Below are 21169 nucleotides of genomic sequence, written 5' to 3' on the forward strand. Positions count from 1 at the left end.
GCACCTGCTCTGGAAGCGCCTCCTGGCTTCTGCTTGCCTCACACCCTGGTGCGTGCACACTTGCAGGCACACACACACAGGACACATGTGGACAGTGTGAAACCTCAGAACACTAACCCACAGGGAGGATGAAAGAGGAAAGTGCCACCTCTGGCTGAAACTGCCAGGATGCCCTCTACTTCTAAAAACATTTGGTATTTTCCATAGCGTGTTTCTATAACAAAAAATATGTGCTAGTTCCCGTTAGCTGGAACTGACATGTGGAAGGGGCCAGGTCTTGTGGGGCCTGGCCAAGACTGCCCCCCTGTGTACAGCAAGGGAGGACCTGCGGTTCCACCAGAGCCAGAGCAGGGCCAGAGGCCGCAGGGGCACCTCTGAGCTCCGACAAAGCCAGCAACACCCCATACCGCCGAACAGACAGAAAGGCGGGCCAGGGGCCCTCCATGTCCTGAAAGACCCAGCACAGCACTGTCCATTTCACACCAGGATTCTTCCAACATGAGAAAGCAATAACCTTTAATATTCACGTGCTCATTCAACTTAACTGGGGGCGGGCTCAGTGGCTCATGACAGTAATCTCGGCATTTTGGGAGGCCGATGTGGGTGGGTCACTTGAGGTCAGAAGTTCAAGACCAGCCTGGCCAACAGGGCGAAACCCCGTCTCTACTAAAACATACAAAAAAAAAATTAGCCAGGCATGGTGGTGTGCTCCTGTAGTCCCAGCTACTCGGGAGGCTGAGGCAGGAGAACTGCTTGAACCCAGGAGATGGAGGTTGCAGTGAGCCAAGACTCTGTCAAAAAAAAATTTTTTTTTAACTGGAGACTTTCTGTTGCTGCTGTGAAACTTCCTTTTTTTAAGAGACAGGGTCTGGCCGGGCGTGGTGGCTCACGCCTGTAATCCCAGCACCTTCGGAGGCCAAGGCGGGTGGATCACCTGAGGTCAGGAGTTTGAGACCAGCCTGGCCAACATGGCGAAACCCCGTCTCTACTAAAAACACAAAAATTAGCCGGGCATGGTGGCACATGCCTGTAATACCAGCTACTTGGGAGGCTGAGGCAGGAAAATCGCTTGAACCCGGGAGGCGGAGGCTGCAGTGAGATGAGATTGCGCCATTGCACTCCAGCCTGGGCAACAAGAGAGACACTCCATCTCAAAAAGAAAAAAAAAGAAGTCTCACTCTGTCACCCAGGCTAAAGCGCAGGGGCACCATCACGGCTCACTGCAGCCTCAACCTCTCGGACTCAAGGAATCCTCCCACCTCAGCCTCCCAAATAGGCGGGACCACAGACATGCGCCACCACGCCTAGCTAATGTTTTCTTATTTTTTGTTTTCTTTGTTTGTTTTTTTGAAGACAAGACAGAGTTTCGCTCCTGTCGCCCAGGCTGGAGTGTAATGGCACGATCTTGGCTCACTGCAACCTCCACCTCCCGGGTTCAAGCGATTCTCATGCCTCAGTCTCCCAAGTAGCTGGGATTACAGGCGCCCACCACCATGCCCAGCTAATTTTTGTATTTTGGGGTTTTTTCTTGTTTTGTTTTTTTAGTTTTTGTAGAGACAGTTTCACTATGTTGCCCACGCTGGTCTCAAACTCTTGACCTCAAGTGATCCTCCCACCTTGGTTTCCCAAAATCCTGGGATTACAAGCATGAGCTACCAAACCTGACTGGAAACTTCTTTTAAGGGGAGACACCTGTAGGAGGCCTGGCTGGCTGGGCAGTAATGGATGGAGAGGAATTCAGGGGTCCCACAGGTGAGTGCCCAAAGGAGGCTGGACCAGACCGCAGTGCATCCCTGAGAGCTGGGGACGGGGACCCGGGAACACAGAGCGTGTGCCTACTGGTGGGGCTGGATGCAGTAGCATCAGACATCTGGGAGGAGCACTGACAAACAGGGCCAAGCACGGCAGCCCACACCCCTTCCCAGGCGCAGACCCTTCCCATGCGCACACCCCTTCCCAGGCACAGACCCTTCCCAGGAGCAACCCTTTCCCAGGCCCACACCCCTTCCCCAGGCCCACATCCCCTCCCCAGGTCCAGACCCCTTCCCAAGCCCAGGCCCCTTCCCCAGGCCACTGCGGAGGAGCTGGTTTTGTAGTGATTACAATTTGGTTACGGAAAACAGGACGTGTGTCACGCTGCAGGCTAACCAGCAGCTTCCTCCCTCACCCAGATGGCAACGGGACAGAATTCACCCGTTTCCTAAGAGCAGGCACCTTCAGCCACAACTTAGGGTTCTGGGGGTCATGGAGCAGAGGCAGAAGCCTGGAGCCTTCCACCCTCAGGACTAGAGCCCCGCCAGGAGGCCAGGCGCATGCTCAGAACCCCAGGCCGCAGGGAGAGGCTGGCCGGTCACATCCTTCTCTGAGGCAGAGGGAGCTTCCCAGCAGGCGAGGGCAACTCCACCACCCATGTCCCCCTCCAGGGCCAGCGCCAGGTGACATGCAGCCATGTCACAAATTAGGTCCGGCTGCATCGTGACCCCAAACGGAAAACAGCAGCACTCACGGACACCCCAGCTTCGAAGTTCTAACTGTGAAGCCACTGAAAGTTGTGATTACGGGAAACGCTCCCCACCCCCACAAGTTCTGGTGACACTGAGGTGTGCTGCTCCTTGCACAGGACGAGGAGGGACCCCTGCAAGCAGGAGCCCAGGATGTCTGGTGTGTGGGCGCCATCACCATCACCTGCTGGCAGAGGGAAGCCTCAGGGCACACACAGTGCAGGACACTGATGTGGGCTCACAGGGAAGCCCCGCCTTGCCTCAGTGGAGCAGACGGCCTCCTCAGGGCACTGCCAACGGCCCCCAACTCCACCGTCTGCCTGGCCCCTCCAGCCACGCTGAGCCTCAGTCCTCACCCACCCTTCTCTCTGCACAGTCTCTGCTCGGGTGCCCCGGGACGCTGGAGCACCAGTGTGGTTTCCCCCGTGGGGCCTGGCTTCCAAGGTCAGGACCCTCTGGGGACTCTCCTGAGGCCTCTGGTCACCTGCCCTGATGCCTTAGTTAAATATTCCAGAGTAAACTGCGAAGCTGTATCAGGCTTAGTTCTCAATTAATAGGCAAAACACCTAGGAAAGACAGTGGCCTTGGGACTAGAAAACGACAGCTCAGAGAGAAAGCTCAGCTTTCAAGATGAAGCTGGAGGAAGGGGCGGCTGGGGCCTACTTGTGTGCCAGGGAAACTGAGAAGCCACCAAGGTTTCCAGCCCCCTGTGATCACCACTGTGACGAGGGAGGAAGGATGCCAAGTGGGCACCTAGAGAGCCTGCCTGGGAGACAGAGGGGCTGCCCAGAGCAACAGATCCCCTCTCTCCTCCCCACTCTCGGCCCAGGCACCACCTGCGCCGGTCCCCAGGGGCTAAGAACCCGCCGCCTCGCAGCACTTCCCCCAGGACCACCACAGTTGGTTGCTGGGCCTGCGCCTCCCTCCAGAGAGTGTGCCTGGGCTCAGAGGCGTCTTGGGGCCACCTGACAGCGCTGGCTCTGAGCTTGTTCTGACAGCACCCGGGTGACAGACTTCCAGCTCTGCACTGCTCCACACCACCATCCTCCCCCGGCAGGGCACAGTGAGGGCAGTGCGCTGTCACCAGGCCCGGATGCACTTAACACTGTGCCTGCCCGGGAAACCCTGCGTCTGCTGCCATGACAACTTGCTTTCATTACTGTTGTTATCATCCCAACAGACATCCAAGTCTTGGCAACTGTGACACAGCTGCAAACTCTGTGCCCAGCAGTCCTAGGAAGATACCCAGGGAGTATGAGCATGGAAGACGATGGGGAGGGAAGAGCAGGAGAGAAAACTCAATGAAGCCCAAGCCAGTTCTTAGAAAAGATCAAAAACACGGATCAACTTCTAGCAAGAGAGACAAAGGGAAAAAAAGACACAAAACACCAACATCTGAAAGGAAAAAGGAGGCCACTGTGGACCCCGCAGATATCAAAAGGATAAGGGAATGCTTCGAACAACTCTCTGGGCAAATTCAACAACTAGGTCAAGTGGACCAATTCCTCAACACAAGCGGCTAATTCACCCCAGGTGAAACACAGCATCTTAAATATAACTAGAACCTCAGTGATGAAAGAAGCCGAAACCACAGTGCAGAATCTTCTGAGAAAGAAAGCTTTGGGACCAGATGGCTACGCTGGTGAATTCTACCAAACATTTCAGAAAGAAAGAACACCAACTCTACATAATGTCTTCCAGAAAATAGAAGAGGAAACGTTTCCCAACCCATTCCATAAGGAGCAGAACCCTGATACCCAAGACAAGGACGTTACAGGAAAAACTACAGGCCAATATCCCACGCAAGCATCAGCAGGAACCCTCAACAGAACATCCGGCGCTGAGCAAAGCAGCTCATGCCGCTAATCCCAGCACTCTGGGAGGCCAAGGTGGGAGGATGCCTTGAGGTCAGAAGTTCGAGACCAGCCTGAGCAGCAAAGCAAGACCACATCTCTACAAAAAAAAAAAAAAAAAAAAAAAAATTGGCGTTGGCTCACACCTGTCATCCTAGAACTTTGAGAGGCCAAGACGGGAGAATTACTTGAGCCCAGGAGTTCCAGACGAGCCTGGTCAACATGGCAAAACCCCATCTCTACAAGAAAAATACAAAAATTAGCTGGGTATAGTAGGGCGCACCTGTAGTACCAGCAACTCAGGAGGCTGAGCTGGGAGGGTCACTGGAGCCCAGGGGGTTACGACTGCAGTAAGCCATGACCACTGCACTCCAGCCAGGGTGACTGAGCAAGACCCTAGACCCTGTCTCCCCAACCAAAAAAAAATTTTTTTAATTAGCTGGGCATGGTAGTGCATGCCCGTAGTCCTAGCTACTCTGGAGTCTCAGGTGGAAGGATCTCTTGAACCCAGAAGTTCCAGGCTGCAGTGACCTGTGATCACACCACTGCACTCCAGTCTGGGCAACAGTGAGACTTTGTCCCAGAAAAAAAAAAAAAAGCTGGGTGCGGTGGCTCACGCCTGTAATCCCAGAACTTTCAGGGGCCAAGGCAGGTGTATCACTTGAGATTAGAAGTTCAAGACCAGCCTCACCAACATGGTGAAACCCCATCTCTACTACAAATACAAAAACCAGCCGGGTATGGTAGTGGGCTCCTATGTAATCCCAGCTACTCAGGAGGCTGAGGCAGGAGAATCGCTTGAACCCAGGAGGGGGAGGTTGCAGTGAGCCCAGATTGCGCCACTGCACTCCAGCCTGGGCAACAGAGCGACACTCTATCTCAAAAAAAAAAAAAAAAAAAAAACTCAAGGAGTGTATTAAAAACTCTTAGGGGCCAGGTGTGGTGGCTCACACCTGTAATCCCAGCACTTTGGGAGGCCAAGGCGGGTGGATCGCCTGGCCAACATGGCAAAACCCCATCTCTACTAAAAATACAAAAACTGCGGCCGGGTGCAACAGCTCACACCTGTAATCCCAGGACTTTGGGAGGCCGAGGTGGGCGGATCACGAGGTCAGGAGATTGAGACCATCCATGTAACCCCGCCTCTGCTAAAAATACAAAAAATTAGCCGGGCGTGGTGCTGGGCGCCTGTAATCCCAGCTACTTGGGAGGCTCAGGCAGGAGAATGGCATGAACCTGGGAGGCAGAGCTTACAGTGAGCCGAGATTGTGCCACTGGACTCCAGCCTGGGTGACAGAGCAAGACGCCGTCTCAAAAAAAAAAACAAAAAACTTAGCTGGGTGCGGTGGCGGGTGCCTGTGATCCCAGCTACTTGGGAGGCTGAGGCAGGAGAATCTCTTGAACCTGGGAGGCGGAGATTGCAGTGAGCCAAGATGGTGCCACTGCACTCCAGCCTGGGCAACAAGAGCAAGACACCAGCTCAAAAAAAAAGAAAAAAAAAAAAAAACCTCTTAGAACAAGTAAGTTTAGCAAAGCCATAGGAAACAGGACAACACACAGAAATCAACCATATTTATATAAACAAGCAATGAAGAGTTGAAAACTAAATTAAAAAAATTCCACTTATAATAACTCCTAATAGAGCTTAGGTACACATCTAAAAAATGTCCAGAGGGCCAGGCACGGCAGCTCATGCCTATAATTCCAGCACTTTGAGAGGCTGAAGTGGGGGGGGATCACTTGAGGTCAGGAGTTCGAGACCAGCCTGGCCAACATGGTGAAACCCTGTCTCTACTAAAAATACAAAAATTAGCCAGGCGTGGTGGTGGGCTCCTGTAATCACAGCTACTTGGGAGGCTGAGGCACGAGAATCGCTTGAACCCAAGAGGCAGAGGTTGCAGTGAGCCGAGGTTGCACCACTGCACTCCAGCCTGAGTGACAGAGCGAGACTCCATCTCAAAAAAAAAGTCCAGAAGCTGTATGCTGAAAACTACCCAACACTGACAGACTATATCAAAGAAAATCTAAATGAATGCAAACATACACTGTGTTCCATGGACTACAAGATTCAACATAGAAAAAATGTCAGCTGGGCACAGTGGCTCCCACCTGTAATCCCAGCACTTTGGGAGGCCGAAGAGGGCGGATCACGAGGTCAGGAGTTCGAGACCAGCCTGGCCAATGTGGTGAAACCCCGTCTCTACTAAAAAATATACAAAAATTAGCTGGGTGTGGTGGCGTGTGCCTGCAGTCCCAGCTACTCAGAAGGCTGAGGCAGCAGAATCACTTGAACTCGGGAGGCGGAGGGTGCAGTGAGCTCAGATCGCGCCACTGCACTTCAGCGTGGGTGACAGGGTGAGACTCTGTCTCAAAAAAAGAGAAAGAAAGAAAAAATGTCAGCTCTCCCTAAATATATCAAGAGGTTTAATGCAATTCCAATGAAAACCCCACCAGGACTTTTGTACAGGTTGAACATCCCAAATCCAAAAATCTGAGATTATAAATGCTCCAAAACGGCCCGGTGCAGTGGCTCACGCTGGTAAACCCAGCACTTTGGGAGGCTGAGGCAGGTGGATCACGAGGTCAGGAGATCGAAACCATCCCGGCTAACACGGTGAAACCCCGTCTCTACTAAAAATACAAAAAATTAGCCGGGCGTGGTGGCGGTCGCCTGTAGTCCCAGCTACTTGGGAGGCTGAGGCAGGAGAATGGCGTGAAGCCAGGAGGCGGAGCTTGCAGTGAGCCGAGATAGTGCCACTGCACTCCAGCATGGGCAGCAAAGCGAGACTCCGTCTCAAGAAAAAAATAAAATAAAAAATAAATGCTCCAAAACATGAAACTTTTTGAGTATCAACACGATGCTCAAAGGAAATGCTCACTGGAGCATCTCAGATTTCAGATTTTTCGATTAGGGATGCTTAACCAGTAATTATAATGCAGATATTCCAAAATCAGAAAACTCTGGTATCCAAAACACTTCTGGTCCCAAGCATTTCAGGTAAGAATATGTGACCTGCAGAGATGCACAAACTTACTCTAAAATTAAAAAGAGAAAGGGAAATTAATAGCCACAACAACTTTGAAAAGGAAGAACAAAGGTTGAGGGACTCACAATATCTGATTTCAGGACAATATAACAGGTATAGTAAAAAAGCGTGTGATGCTGACAAAGGAAAACGGCACCTGATCAACAGGGCAGGACACAAGGCCCAGAGACAGACCTGCACGGACGGGGCCCAGTGAGCACAGCCGAGGGAGCAAAGGCCTTCAGTCTTTCAACAAACGGTGTTGAAACAAGGGGACCTCCAGATAAACAATGAGCCTCAGCCTACAAAGCACACCTTATACAAAACATAGATGGACCACAGATTTAGGCCAGGTGCGGTGGCTCGCGCCTGTAATCCCAGCACTTTGGGAGGCTGAGGCAGGCGGATCACTTGAGGTCAGGTGTTCAAGACCAGCCTGACGAACAGGGTGAAACCCTGTCTCTACTAAAAATACAAAAATTAGCCAAGTGAGGTGGCGCACGCCTGTAATCCCAGGTACTTGGGAGGCTGAGGCACGAGAATCACTTGAACCTGGGAGGCAGAGGTTGCAGTGAAACGAGATTGTGCCACTGCACTCCAGCCTGGGCCACAGAGCAAGATTCTGTCTCAAAAAAAAAAAAAAAGTTAAAACTTCTGCTTTGAGGCCGTGCGCAGTGGCTCACGCCTGTAATCCCAGCACTTTGGGAGGCCGAGGTAGGCGGATCACGAGGTCAGGAGATCGAGACCATCCTGGCTATCACAGTGAAACCCCGTCTCCACTAAAAAATACAAAAAAAATTAGCCGGGCATGGTAGTGGGCTCCTGTAGTCCCAGCTACTCGGGAGGCTGAGGCAGGAGAATGGCGTGAGCCTGGGAGGCAGAGCTTGCAGTGAGCCGAGATCGAGCCACTGCACTCCAGCCTGGGCAACAGAGCAAGACTCCATCTCAAAAGAAAAAAAACTTCTGCTTTGAAAATCACATATACAACAAAGGGCTTGTAACTACAATCCACAAAGAACTCCCAAAACTCAACAATAAGAAAACAACCCAAATAAAAAATGAGAGTCAGGGTGTGGTGGCTCACGCTGTAATCCCAGCAATTCGGGAGGCCAAGGCTGGAGTATCACTTGAGCCCAGGAGTTTGAGACCAGCCTGGGCAACATAGAGACCTTGTCTCTACTAAAAATAAAATAAAATAAATGATCACAGCATGGTGGCATGCACCTGTAGTCTCAGCTACTCAGGAGGTTGAGGCAGGAGAATTGCCTGAGCCTAGGAGTTCAAGGCTGCAGAGAGCCATGACTGGGCCATTGCACACCAGCCTGGGCCACAGAGTGAGATCCTGTCTCGAGATAAATAAAAAAATAAGACTTGAGCACACATTTCAACAAAGAGGATTCGGGCATGGCAAATAAGCACCCTAATAAGGTTGAACATCACTAGCCAGTAGAGAAATACAGAATACCACTATGATGAGATGCCACACACCTGTTAGAACAACCGAAATAAAAACATCGACAACACCAAGTGCTGGTGAAGATGTGGGGCAACTGGTGAGAATGCATAATGGCACAGCCACATCACAAAACAGTTCATGACAGTTTCCCATAGAGTTACACATACAGCTAAGTTCCCCAGAGAAATGAAAACGTATGTTCACACAGAGAGCTGCAAATGAATCCTTTTAGCAGCTCTATTCACAACCACCTGAAACTGGCCACAGTCCAGCTCCTTCCACAGGCTGGGGTCCATCCCCAGCCCGCAATACTGCCCATCACTGAAACGTCCCCTCCGAGGCCTGCAGCAGCCTGAGTGGCCCTAGGGCATCCGCCCGGTAACCACCAAGGCCAAGGGCAGCAGCAATCGGATTCTAAGTACCAGACATTGCTGAAAACAAAACTGCAGGCACAGAGAGTGACAGTGAGGGGCAGCTTGAGGGGCCTTCTGGGCTCCCCAGGCTCTCTTCAACCCTCCCTGTGCTGGCTGCCCTGGCCCACGCGTGTGTCGAGGAAGTCCACGCACGCCACGGGGGTCCACAGGCGCGCGAAGAAGGTCTACATTCTCGCCAAGGGGATCCACACTCGCGCCCAGACGGCGCAGAACCGCGCGCCCCGACAGAGCGTGCGGTACCGAGGCGCTGGTCCCGGCCGCGCCGTCACCGCCTCCAGCCCGCCTAAGCCGCACCGAGAAATCCGCGCAGCGCCAGCCCGCGGGACTCACCGTCCAGGGACACGAACTGGCCCACGGCCGAGGAGCCGCCGCCGCTGCTCTCCACGAACTGCACCTCGGACACGATGATGTTGTCCTCCAGCACTGAGCCGCAGGCGGTGCACACCGCGTCCCCGCGCGCCGCGTCCAGCTCGATGTCCGTGCCGCCGCAACCGCGGCACACGCGGCCCGTCATGCCGGCGACCGCGCGGGCAGCGCCCGGAGCCTCCCAAGACTCTCAAGCCACCCGAGCCTCCGGAGCAGCCCGCGCCGCCCGCCCAGGCCCAGCCGCCCAGGCCTCGCCGCTCTCGCGAGGCCCCGCTCCAGCCGATTCGCAGCCGCAGATTCGCCGCGCGCGCCCGGGCCGCGCCGCCCGCAACGGCCGCGCCCGCGGGATGGGACAGGCACCGGGACCACGGCGGGGACGCGAGGACTGGAGCCGCGACCTCCCCACTGCGAGCGAGCTGGCCTCCCTTGCGGCGCGCCGGCGTCGGAGGGGCGACCTGCGGGGGCTGGGCTTCGGCGGAACCCGAGCGGGGCCTACCGGTGAGCGCAGCCGAGGACTGGCGCTTGGGGGCGGGGCCACGGCGGTGAGCGCAGCCCGGGACTGGAGTTTGGGGCGGGGCCTCGTCGGTGGGCGACACCGGGGACTAGAGCTAAGGGTGGGGCCTCGCGGTGAGTGCAGCCGGGGACGGGACCCAAGGCTGGCGACGGGACCCAAGGCTGGCGACGCGACCTAAGGCAGTGGGCGGGCCCTTGGCGATGAACGCAGTCGGGGACTAAAGCTGGACGCGGGGCAGAGGAGGGTCCTCCTCGGATAGTGAGCGCGGTCTCCAGCGGCGAGCGAGGCCTGGGGTGAGGACTCAGCCGGATGCGGGGCTGAGGGTGGGGGGCGGGGCCTCCCGTGGAGAGACGGCCTGCGAAGGGAACTGGAGCTGTGGGCGGGGGAAGGGGGCGGAGCCTGGGTCTGGACCCGAACTGTGGGCGGGGCTTGAGGCGAGGGGGCCGAGCGTGGTGGGCGGGGCCTTGGCTCCTGAGGGCGACCTGGGACCCAACCCCGGGCTCTGGGAGTGGTGGGCGGGGCCAGGGCAGCTGCGCTGGGGGGCCTGGCCGCAGAGGTGGAGACACCCGCCAGGGGCCACCCTGCCCCGCCCTCCGCATTTGCGGCGTCCGCCGCTCCGCTCGCCCAGGTTCCAGAGCCTCCCCGTGCGCCCCGCTATTCTCCGTTTTCTGTTCCCCTAAAATTCCCACTTTCTAGCAGTCATTCGTGGCCACCTGTGGTTACCCGTGAGTCACCTCGCTGTGCCCCCTGCCCAGAGCGGGAACCCTGGCTGCGCACGCCCTCAAATATCTGCAGGTGCTGTTCACAATCGCCATAGGGCCGGTGACATACCCAGGAATGAGCCTAAAAAGAAATGCGTAACCAGGCGTAGTGGCTCACGCTTGTAATCCCAGCACTTTGGGAGGCCAAGGCAGGCGGATCACGTAAGGTGAGGAGTTCGAGACCAGCCTGGCCAACATGGCGAAACCCCGTCTCCACTAAAAATACAAAAAAATTAGCCAGGCTTGGTGGTGGGCGCCTGTAATCCCAGCTACTCGCGAGTCTGAGACAGGAGAACCACTTGAACCTGAGAGGTGGAGGTTGCAGTGAGCTGAGATCCCGCCATTGCACTCCAGCCTGGGTGACGGGTGACAAGAGTGAAACTCTGTCTCAAAAAAAAAAAAGAGAAAAAAGGAAATGCGGAAGACCCCACCCTCTTTTTTTTCTTTCTTTTTTTTTTTTTTTTGAGACGGAGTCTCTGCTCTGTTGCCCAGGCTGGAGTGCAGTGGTGAGATATCGGCTCACTGCAACCTCTGCCTCCTGGGTTTAAGCGATTCTCCTCTCTCAGCCTCCCGAGTAGCTGGGATTACAGGTATGCACCACCACACCTGGCTAATTTTGTATTTTTAGTAGAGACGGGGTTTCTCCATGTTGGTCAGGCCAGTCTTGAACTCCCGACCTCAGGTGATCCGCCCACTTCAGCCTCCCAAAGTGCTGGGATTACAGGCATGAGCCACCGTGCATGGCCCTATTTCATTAATTTCTGCTCTCATTTTTGTTAGATCCTTCTTTCCACTTAATTTGGTTCAATGTGTTCCCTTTTTCTAGTTTCTTCATTTTTTAAAAATTGAGATAGTGTCTCATTCTGTCACCCAAGGTGGAGTGCAGTAGCATAATCAAGCCTCACTGCAGACTCTACCTCCTGGGCTCAGGTGATCCTCCCACCTCAGCCTCCCGAGTAGCTGGAACTACAGGCATGTGCCACCACACCCAGATAATATTTTTTGTAGAGATGGGTTTTTGCCTCATTTGCCCAGGCTGGTCTGGAACTCCTGGGCTCAAGTGAGCCACCCGCCTTGTCTTCCCAAAGTGCTGGGATTACAGGCATGAGCCACTGCTCCCCGCCCTGTCCTCCCAAAGTGCTGGGATTACAGGCATGAGCCACTGCTCCCCGCCCTTTCTCTAGTTCTTTTTTTTTTTTGAGATAGAGAACACCCAGGCTGGAGTTCAGTGGTGCCATCTCAGCTCACTGCAACTTCCACCTCCCAGGTTCAAGTGATTCTGTCACTTCAGCCTCCCAAGTAGCTGGAATTACAGGCATGTGCCACCACGCCCAGCTAATTTTTGTATTTTTAGTAGAGATGGGGTTTCACCATGTTGGCTAGGCTGGTCCCAAACTCCTGACCTCAAGTGATCCACCTGTCTTGGTCTCCCAAAGTGTTGAGATTCTACACGTGAGCCAATGCACCCGGCCCCTTTTTCTAGTTTTTGTTTTGTTTTGTTTTTTGAGGTGGAGTCTCGCTCTGTCACCCAGGCTGGAATGCAGTGGTGCGATCTTGGCTCACTGTAACCTCCACCTCCCGGGTTCATGCCATTCTCCTGCCTCAGCCTCCCAAGTAGCTGGGACTACAGGTGCCCACCACCATGCCTGGCTAATTTTTTGTATTTTTAGTAGAGACAGGGTTTCACTGTGTTAGCCAGGATGGTCTTGATCTCCTGACCTCGTGATCCACCTGTCTCGCCCTCCCAAAGTGCTGGGACTATGGGCGTGAGCCATCGCGCCTGGCCTTTTCCTAGTTTTTTAAGGTGAAAGATGAAATCATTGATTTAAGATCTCTTTTCCTTTATAAATAGGCATTTTATTGCTATAATTCTCCCTGTAATTACCACTTTAGCTGAATCCTGCACATTTCAATGTGCTGTGTTTTCATTTTCATTCAGCTCAAGATTGTCTCCACTCTTAATTTCCTCCCGGATCCAAGGGTTATTAGGAAGTGTATTGTTTTGTTTCTAAATGTTGGGGATTTTTCAAATATGTATTATTGATCTCTATGCAAAATGCTCTCTGTCCATGATGACATTTCATCCTTATGGCAACACTAGCTTGCAGACACTGTTGTCTCCATTTTATGGAGGGAGCCCTTGAGGATGTGAGGGGTGACAGCCCCAAATCTCATAGCCAGTAGGTAACAAAGCCAGAATCCAATCTGAGGCCATGTGGCCACTGGATCCTTGCTCTCACCTGACAGACTAGAGGGGTTATTTCGTGTGCTCCCTCACCAAAGCCTGTGAGGTGCCTGCAGGTGCAAGGGGCAGCATGCCTCCCAGGCCACAGCGGTGCAGGACAGTCAGGCAGTACAGGACAGTCAGGCTGTACAGGACAGGATTGGCCAGAGGAGCAGAGGGTGGGGAAGACCACACCCACAACGGTAAGAGGTTTAAAGGGTGTGGTTTCAGCCAGGCTCGGTGGCTCAGGACTGTAATCCCAGCACTTTGGGAGGCTGAGGAGGGCAGATCACGAGGTCAAGAGATCAAGACCGTCCTGGCCAACATGGTGAAACCCATCTTTCCAAAAAATACAAAAATTAGCAGGTGTGATGGTGGGCGCCTGTAGTTCCAGCTACTCGGGAGGCTGAGGCAGGAGAATTGCTTGAACCTGGGAGGCGGGAGTTGTGGTGAGGCGAGATGGCGTCATTGCACTTCAGCCTGGACGACAAGAGTGAAACTCCATCTCACAATAAATAAAATAAAATAAAATAAAATATAAAAAAGGGTGAGGCTCTACTGGGCAATGGCCCAAGGTGCGTGCTGCCAGAACTAAGCCTTTGCTCAGATGGGCTGCAGAGGAGGGGTGCTATGGTCTGAATGTGCATTGTATCAGTCTGTTTTCACACTGCTGATAAAGACATACGTGAGACTGGGCGATTAACAAACAAAAGAGGTTTATTGGACCTGTAGTTCCACGTGGCTGCAGAGGCCTCACAATCATGGAGGAAGGCAAGGAGGAGCAAGTCACGTCTTACGTGGATGGCAGCAGGGAGAGAGAGAGCTTCTGCAGGGAAACTCCCTCTTATAAAACCGTCAGATCTCGTGAGACTTATTCGCAATCACAAGAACAGCACGGGAAAGACCTGCCCCCATGATTCAATTCCCTCCCACCAGGTCCCTCCACAATATGTGGGAATTCAAGATGAGATCTGGGTGGGTACACAGAGCCAAATCATATCATGTGTGTTCCCCCAAAGTCCATATGTTGACGTCCTTGCCCCAAGGCGATGGTTTTAGAGAGGTGGGGCCTTTGGGAGATGAGGTCATGAGGGCTGCTTCCCTCATGAGCGGGATTAATGCCCTCAGAAAAGTGGCTGGCTGGGCACAGTGGCTCACATCTGTGATCTCAGCACTTTGGGAGGCTGAGGAGGGAGGATTGCTTGAGTCCAGGAGTTTGAGACCAGCCTAAGCAACATGGCAAAACCCTGACTCTACAAAAACTACAAAAACTTAGCCGGTTGTGGTAGCATGTGTCTGTAGTCCCAGCTACTTGGGAGGCTGAGGTAGGAGGATTGCTTGAGCCCAGAAAGTTGAGGCTGCAGTGAGCTGAGATCACACCACTCCACTCCAGCCTGGGCGACAGATTGAGAACCTGTCTCAAAGAAAAAAGAAACAAGAAAAAAGAAAAAACGTGGCTGGAGGGAGCTTGTCTGCTGCTTCCCCCATGTGAGGATGCAGGAAGAGGGCACTGTCTATGAACCAGGAAGTGGCCCTCACCAGACACGGCATCTGCCAGCACCGTCCTGTGAAATGAATAGTGGTTTATAAGCCACTTGGACTGTGGTGGTTTGCCATTGCAGTGTGAACCAACTGAGGCAGGGAGTAACGCTCCCCACGTGATGTGAAGGCATAAAGAATGGAGCCAGGTTAGAGGGAGAATGCGGAGAACTGCCCTGGGGACCGGTTAGGTGCCCCATGCTGCAAGCGCCCCAGGAAGCTTGGAAACATTTAGGACTGACTGACAAGCTCAAAGAGTCAAGCAAGGGCGGCCAAGGGGCACCAGTGCCCTCAGAGCACCCACACTGGGCACCCAGCACCAGCTTCCTGTGCCCAGGGTCCTCTGTACTCCTCATTCAGCCCTGCAAGGCAGGACCCTCACTCGCACCGCGCCAAAGAGGACGCTGGAAACGTGCAGTGATCTCCGCTCTGGCTGTAAACAGGGAGAGGCTGTGGGCTTGCCCCTAGACCTGACTCCAGCACACAGCAGCAGAGCGGGGCCCAGGCTGGGGGTGTGGGGCAGGAACATTCCTTCATGGGGGCCCCAGAGAGCTGGAAAGTAATGTAGGTGTTGCACTGAAATGAGAGAATTGCTTTAATCTGAACTGAACGTGCTCGTAACACTTAGACCAGGAAGGATTTCCTTTTCTCAGGGCCTGAGAAAAATGACCTGACCAGCAGGGTTAGAGTTTTGAAGGACACGCCTAGGCACCTGCAAACTTCCCCTCCTGGAGGCTTTCTTCATTCATGGTGTCTTTTGTTTTTGGGTTTGTTTTGTTTTGTTTTGTTTTGTTTTGTTTTTGAGACACAGTCTTGCTCTGTCCCCCAGGCTGGAGTGCAGCGGCGCCATCTCGACTCAGTGCAACCTCTGCCTCCCAGGTTCAAGCGATTCTCCTGCCTCAGCCTCCCGATTAGCTGGGATTACAGGTGCATGCCACCATGCCCGGCTAATTTTTTGTATTTTTAGTAGAGATGGGGTTTCACCATGTTGGCCAGGATGGCCTCGATCTCCTGACCTCGTGATCTGCCCACCTCAACCTCCCAAAGTGCTGGGATTATAGGCATGAGCCACCACACCTGGCCTGTTTTTTGGGGGTTTTTTTTGAGACTGAGTCTCGCTGTGTCGCCCAGGCTGTAGTGCAATGGCACGATCTTGATGTACCGCAATCTCTACCTCCCGGGTTCAAGCAATTCTCCTGCCTCAGCCTCCCAAGTAGCTAGGATTACAGGCACCTGCCACTGCGCCCAGCTAATTTTTGTATTTTTAGTAGAGTCAGGGTTCCATCATGTTGGCCAGGCTCGTCTTGAATTCCTGACCTCAAATGATCCATCTGCCTTGGCCTCCCAAAGTGCTGGGATTACAGGCGTGAGCCACCGTGCCAAGCCCCATCGTGTTCTCATCTGTGGTGCTTTGACATCTTGGGGTCTCGTGGACCTAGAGAGGGACTCCCCTCCCAGGGTTAGCTAATTCCTAGAGACAGCTGACCACTTGCCTCTGAGTATGCCTTATTTACTTTATTTTTTCTTTTTTTCTTTTTTTTTTGAGGCAGGGTCTCACTCTGTCACCCAGGCTGGAGTGCAGTGGTATGATCATAGCTCACTGTCGTCTCAAACTGCTGGGCTCAAGAGATCCTTTGGCCCCAGCCTCCCAAAGTACTGAGATCCCAGGCTTGAGCCACCGTGCAGGCTGAGCATACCTTTGATATGCAGAGCAACCATCATGAGTCCCACCTGCCTCCTTTCATCAGGCTCCTGCATTCCTGAACACTAGCCCCCTGCCCTAAATCACCCCAAGGCCAGGTACCAGCTAGCTAGATACCACCCCCAAGCCCAGAGCCCACTGAAATGACCCAGTTCTAATTCTGCTCAGCTTGCCTCCTCTGCCTTGCCTGGAAAATGGCAATAAAGGCTCTTGCCCACCCTTTCCCTTCACCCCCTCCCTGTCCTGACTGGCCCTGGGTGCTTCCCCACGTGCCCCTCCTCCTGGGAACTGTGAGTAATAAACTCCTCTTTCAAAGGCGGTTGTCTCTGTGTCTGTCATCTTATCACATTTGATCAAAATAACTCCTGGGTACTCAATAGCCCTGTCCCCCCATGCAGCAGTCAGCAGGGGAAATGAGAAAGCAAGCTTCTATGGCCTTCTCACCTTCTCACCTGCTGCCTGGCCTTGGGCAAGTGCTTCAATCTCTCTAGGTTTCTACTTCCTCATCTGCATAACAGGGATAAGAATAGCCCACCCTAGCACTGCGGAGTATGATGGAGGACATGTGTCTGGTAGACAGACTGCTCAGAAGGCAAGTCCCTGTTCCTGTCTGTTCTCCGCAACTCGAGTGAGACTTGGTGAGGCTCCAGTCCACCTTCCACCACAGAAGTCAAGGGCCAGGCCAGGACAGTGGCTCACGCCTGTCATCCCAGCACTTTGGGAGGCAGAGGTGGGAGGATAGCTTGAGCCCAGGAGTTCGAGACCAGCCTGGGCAACAAAGTGAGATCCCTGTCTCTACAAAAAATTTAAAAATTAGCTGTGCGTGGTGGTGCGTGCCTCTAGTTCAGCTACTTGGGAGGCTGAGGCAGGAGAATCGCTTGAACCCAGGTGACTGAGGCTGCAGTGAGTTATGATCACACCACAGCACTCCAGCCTGGACCATAGAGTGAGACTCTGTCCCCCCCAAAAAAACAATTAGGCCGGGCACAGTGGCTCACACCTGTTATCCCAGCACTTTGGGAGGCTGAGGTGAGAGGATTGATTGAGCCCAGGTGTTTGAGACCAGCCTGGGAAATATGGCAAAACAGCATCTCTAACAAAAATACAAAAATTAGCCAGGTGTGGTGGTACATGCCTGTGGTCCCAGCTACTCGGGAGGCTGAAGAGGGAGGATTGCCTGAGCCCAGGAGACAGAAGTTGCAGTGAGCTGAGATGGCACCATTGTACTCCAGCCTGGGCACGACAGAGGCAGATTCTGTCTTTTTTTTTTTTTTTTTTTGAGATGGAGTCTTGCTCTGTCGTCCGGGCTGGAGTGCAGTGGTGCAATCTTGGCTCACTGCAACCTCCGCCTCCTGGGTTCAAGTGATTCTCCTGCCTCAGCCTTCTGAGTAGCTGGGATTACAGGTATGAGCCACTGTGCCCAGCTAAGTTTTGCAGTTTTAGTAGAGACAGGGTTTCACCATGTTGGCCAGGCTGGTCTGGAACTCCTGACTTCATGATCCGCCTGCCTCAGCCCCCCAAAGTGCTGGGATTACAGGCATGAGCCACTGTGCCCAGCCATGACTTTGTCTCTAAATAAATAAATAATTTTTTAAAACCCTTAGGGACCCAGCACAGTGGTTCACACTTGTAATCCCAGCACTTTGAGAGGCTGAGGCAGGAGGATGGTTTGAGTCCAGGAGATCTGGCCTACAGTGAGCCATGATGGCACCACTGCACTCCAGCCTGGTTGACAGAGCAAGACCCTGTCAAGAAAACAAAAGAAAAAAAAAGAAAAAGACAAACAAAACCTAACAAAACCAGAAATCCATCCTGCACGAAGAGCACTGAGGTTGAGTGTTGGTTGACACGTGTTGCGGTAATTGCTGTTCTGATGTCTGTGAATGTCCTTGGCTGATTTCTGTATTAGGGCCTGGGTGTTTTCCTTTCTTTTCTAATATTTAAGTTATGTCCTGGCTTATTGTGATGATATTCTATTGTGGGAAAGAAAGAAGTGTTAAAATTTATGCATCAAGGTCCCTCTTAATCTTGGGGCTCAGGATAACCACAGTCAAGAGGGGAGAGTTTTATTCCTGAATCCAGGTCATGCTGTGTTCAACTTTACACCCTGATTTGTCACACAATCACATATCTGAGAATTTCCCCATGTTGCTAAAACTGAGGCAGCGTTCCGTTTTGCTGGTTATTCCACATCCCATGGGGTGGATGTGCCAGGGCAAGTTTTGTCATTTCCCCTGGACTGGACATTCCTTTCTGTAGGTGTTGCTGTTTGAAATATCTCACACACCTGGACCTGTGTCCCTGTTGACATTTCCAGTGTCACCTGCAGGATGCCATGGGATACCCATGAGCCCAGGCAAATCTCCCAAGACGCTGCCAAGCCACTCTGCAGAGCTGCTCTGGGTCCTGCCCCAGGTGCTGTGTGAGGGAGCTGCGCTGCCTGCGCCCAACCCAGGAGGGGAGCAGCGTGCAGGACACCGAGGATGTCATCACGACCTTAGGTCTGTATTAGGTCTAGATTAGCCTGCATTAAGGAGAAGGTGGTGATGTGTGTCTTTTTTTTTTTTTTTTTTTTTTTTTTTTAGACGGAGTCTCACTCTCTTGCCCAGGCAGGAGTGCAGTGGCACAATCTCGGCTCACTGCAAGCTCCGCCTCCTGGATTCAAGCAATTCTCCTGTCTCAGCCTCCCGACTAGCTGGGACTACAGGCGCCCGCCACCACACCCGACTAATTTTTGTATTTTTAGTAGAGACGGGGTTTCAGTGTATTGGTCAGGCTAGTTTTGAACTCCTGACCTGGAGATCCACCCGCCTCGGCCTCCCAAAGTGCTGGGATTACAGGTATGAGCCACCGCACCCAGCCATGTGCATCTTTTTATAATTTACAATTCGTGATAGTAGTGACAACTGTCTCACTTATTCTTTTGTGAATCTTTTGTAGCTTCTCTAACCATTTTCCACTGGGAATTTTTTAGTGGTCTTATGGACTTGTATGATTTCCTTTGATATTAAGAATGTTACCCTAGTGAGCCAGGCACAGTGGCTCACGCCTGTAATCCCAGCACTTTGGGAGGTCGAGGCGGGCGGATCATGAGGTCAGGAGATCAAGACCATCCTGGCTAACACGGTGAAACCCCGTCTCTAATAAAAATACAAAAAATTAGCCAGGCGTGGTGGCAGGCGCCTGTAGTCCCCCCTACTCAGGAGGCTGAGGCAGGAGAATGGCATGAACCCGGGAGGCAGAGCTTGCAGTGAGCTGAGATGGCACCACTGCACTCCAGCCTGGGCGACAGACAGAGCGAGACTCTGTCTCAAAAAAAAAAAAAAAAAAAAAAGAATGTTACCCTAGTGAAACATTCAGTATTCTTACAAAGATCATCCTCAATAGTTTGTTGCGTTGGGTGAGGGTTCCCTTTGCACGTTTGGTTTTTTCAGGACGGGGCGCAGCCCCAGCCAGATGGCGCCCGGCTCTCCAGCCAGCGGCAGCTCACCCTGCTGTGGTTTGATTTTCCCTACACAATTAATACATGTTCATCATGGAGAAAATAGGAGATAAAGATAAGCAAAAAGGAGAAACCAAATCAATGGAATCCCCATCACACAGAGATACTTTCTTAACACTTTGGATTAATTTGTATCCTATCAATATTTTTCTATACCTGAAAATAGGTGTTTTATATGTATAATCACTAACATGTAAATACATACTGCACATGGACATGCATTTTCACATACATTTTTGTTTTCTTGAGACAGAGTTTCACTCTTGTCACCCAGGCTGGAGTGCAGTGGCACAATCTTGGCTCAATGGAACCTCTGCCTGCTGGGTTCAAGCGATTCTCCTGCCTCAGCCTCCCGAGTAGCTGGGATTACAGGCGCGCACCATCATGCCCCACTAATTTTTTGTATTTTTAGTAGAGATGGGGTTTCACTATGTTGGCCAGGATGGTCACAAACTCCTGACCTCAGGTGATCCACCCACTTCGGCCTCCCAAAGTGCTAAGATTACAGGCATGAGCCACTGTGCCCGGCCTTTTTATTTTTATTTTTTGAGATGGAGCCTGGCTCTGTCCCCCAGACTGGAGTGCAGTGGTGTGATCCTGGTTCACTGCAACCTCCACCTCCTGGGTTCAAGTGATTCTCCCACCTCAGCTTCCCAAGTCACTGGGATCACAGATGCGCACCACCATGCCCAGGTACGTTTTTGTATTTTTGTTAGAGATGGGACTTTGCCATATTGCCCAAGCTGGTCTTGAACTCCTGAGGTCACGGGATCTGTGCGCTTTGGCCTCCCAAAGTGCTGGGATTACAGGTGTGAGCCCCTGCGACTGGCCTGTTTTTAGCTACTTTTAACTCACTATTTCTGCCAGCTGTAGAATATTCTATCAGGTTCTATCATGGCTCACCTAACCCTGTTCTACTCTACAACCCCGGGGTTGATTCCAGGCCTCACTCTCAGCAGTTGAGCTGCTCTAAGGGTGACCGTGGGAACTGTCCACAGGTGCGGCTGCGGGTGCAGCGATCTCAGCGGTCTTAGAGCTCTTGGCCATCCCCCACATGGCTTCCCAGAAAATGCCTCCAGGAGGAGGGCCCTGCTGTACCTTTTTTGTGACCATTCCTCCTCAGCCTCAGTCATGGCCATGTGCTCCAACCATGGGAGTGGATGCGGCAGGGCCTGTCTAGGGGTTCGGCAGTTCTGTCCCTCTGCCATAGCATGGGCTGGGCAGGGACCTGGCCACGTGGGGCTGCTTCCTCAGCCCAGCTCCTGGCAGGAGAAGGAGTAGGGGCGCTGTG

The 21169-nt window shown here is 52.9% G+C and overlaps 2 protein-coding genes and 1 pseudogene across 14 annotated transcripts in view, besides 6 other annotated features; 2 read left to right on the top strand and 1 right to left on the bottom strand.

The window, feature by feature from the left end:
• BRF1 (BRF1 general transcription factor IIIB subunit) overlaps positions 1 to 21169 on the bottom strand; it is a 106304-nt gene that overhangs the window by 81560 nt on the left and 3575 nt on the right. For 7 of the 11 annotated variants that reach the window (NM_001242788.2, XM_047431302.1, NM_001440450.1 and 4 more), the window contains exon 1: positions 9601 to 10156. The exons of the other annotated variants lie outside the window; for them this stretch is intronic. In NM_001242788.2, coding sequence (NP_001229717.1) covers positions 9601 to 9784 — 184 coding nt within the window. In that variant the 5' untranslated portion in view covers positions 9785 to 10156. Of the gene's footprint in view, positions 1 to 9600; positions 10157 to 21169 lie in introns of those variants that run through there. 11 annotated transcript variants of the gene reach the window in all.
• Positions 2228 to 2377: an enhancer, noted in NCBI's record as "active region_9141". NCBI's record gives its function as "activates an Ori minimal core promoter by ATAC-STARR-seq in GM12878 lymphoblastoid cells {active_cell/tissue: GM12878}" and the evidence as "EXISTENCE:reporter gene assay evidence [ECO:0000049][PMID:35858748]".
• Positions 2528 to 2647: an enhancer, noted in NCBI's record as "active region_9142". NCBI's record gives its function as "activates an Ori minimal core promoter by ATAC-STARR-seq in GM12878 lymphoblastoid cells {active_cell/tissue: GM12878}" and the evidence as "EXISTENCE:reporter gene assay evidence [ECO:0000049][PMID:35858748]".
• Positions 3288 to 3417: an enhancer, noted in NCBI's record as "active region_9143". NCBI's record gives its function as "activates an Ori minimal core promoter by ATAC-STARR-seq in GM12878 lymphoblastoid cells {active_cell/tissue: GM12878}" and the evidence as "EXISTENCE:reporter gene assay evidence [ECO:0000049][PMID:35858748]".
• Positions 8898 to 8977: an enhancer, noted in NCBI's record as "active region_9144". NCBI's record gives its function as "activates an Ori minimal core promoter by ATAC-STARR-seq in GM12878 lymphoblastoid cells {active_cell/tissue: GM12878}" and the evidence as "EXISTENCE:reporter gene assay evidence [ECO:0000049][PMID:35858748]".
• On the top strand, positions 9783 to 20348 carry LOC124903409 (uncharacterized; annotated as a pseudogene).
• Positions 9828 to 10237: a silencer, noted in NCBI's record as "silent region_6224". NCBI's record gives its function as "represses an Ori minimal core promoter by ATAC-STARR-seq in GM12878 lymphoblastoid cells {active_cell/tissue: GM12878}" and the evidence as "EXISTENCE:reporter gene assay evidence [ECO:0000049][PMID:35858748]".
• The window catches only part of PACS2 (phosphofurin acidic cluster sorting protein 2), a 97374-nt gene continuing 86133 nt past the window's right edge, over positions 9929 to 21169 (top strand). For all 3 annotated transcript variants that reach the window (XM_017021112.3, XM_017021111.3, NM_001243127.3), the window contains exon 1: positions 9929 to 10134. The gene's annotated coding sequence lies outside the window, so the exon portion shown is untranslated. The remainder of the gene's footprint in view (positions 10135 to 21169) is intronic.
• Positions 10468 to 10837: a silencer, noted in NCBI's record as "silent region_6225". NCBI's record gives its function as "represses an Ori minimal core promoter by ATAC-STARR-seq in GM12878 lymphoblastoid cells {active_cell/tissue: GM12878}" and the evidence as "EXISTENCE:reporter gene assay evidence [ECO:0000049][PMID:35858748]".

This window comes from Homo sapiens, chromosome 14, assembly GCF_000001405.40.
Source record: "Homo sapiens chromosome 14, GRCh38.p14 Primary Assembly".
NCBI lineage: Eukaryota > Metazoa > Chordata > Mammalia > Primates > Hominidae > Homo > Homo sapiens.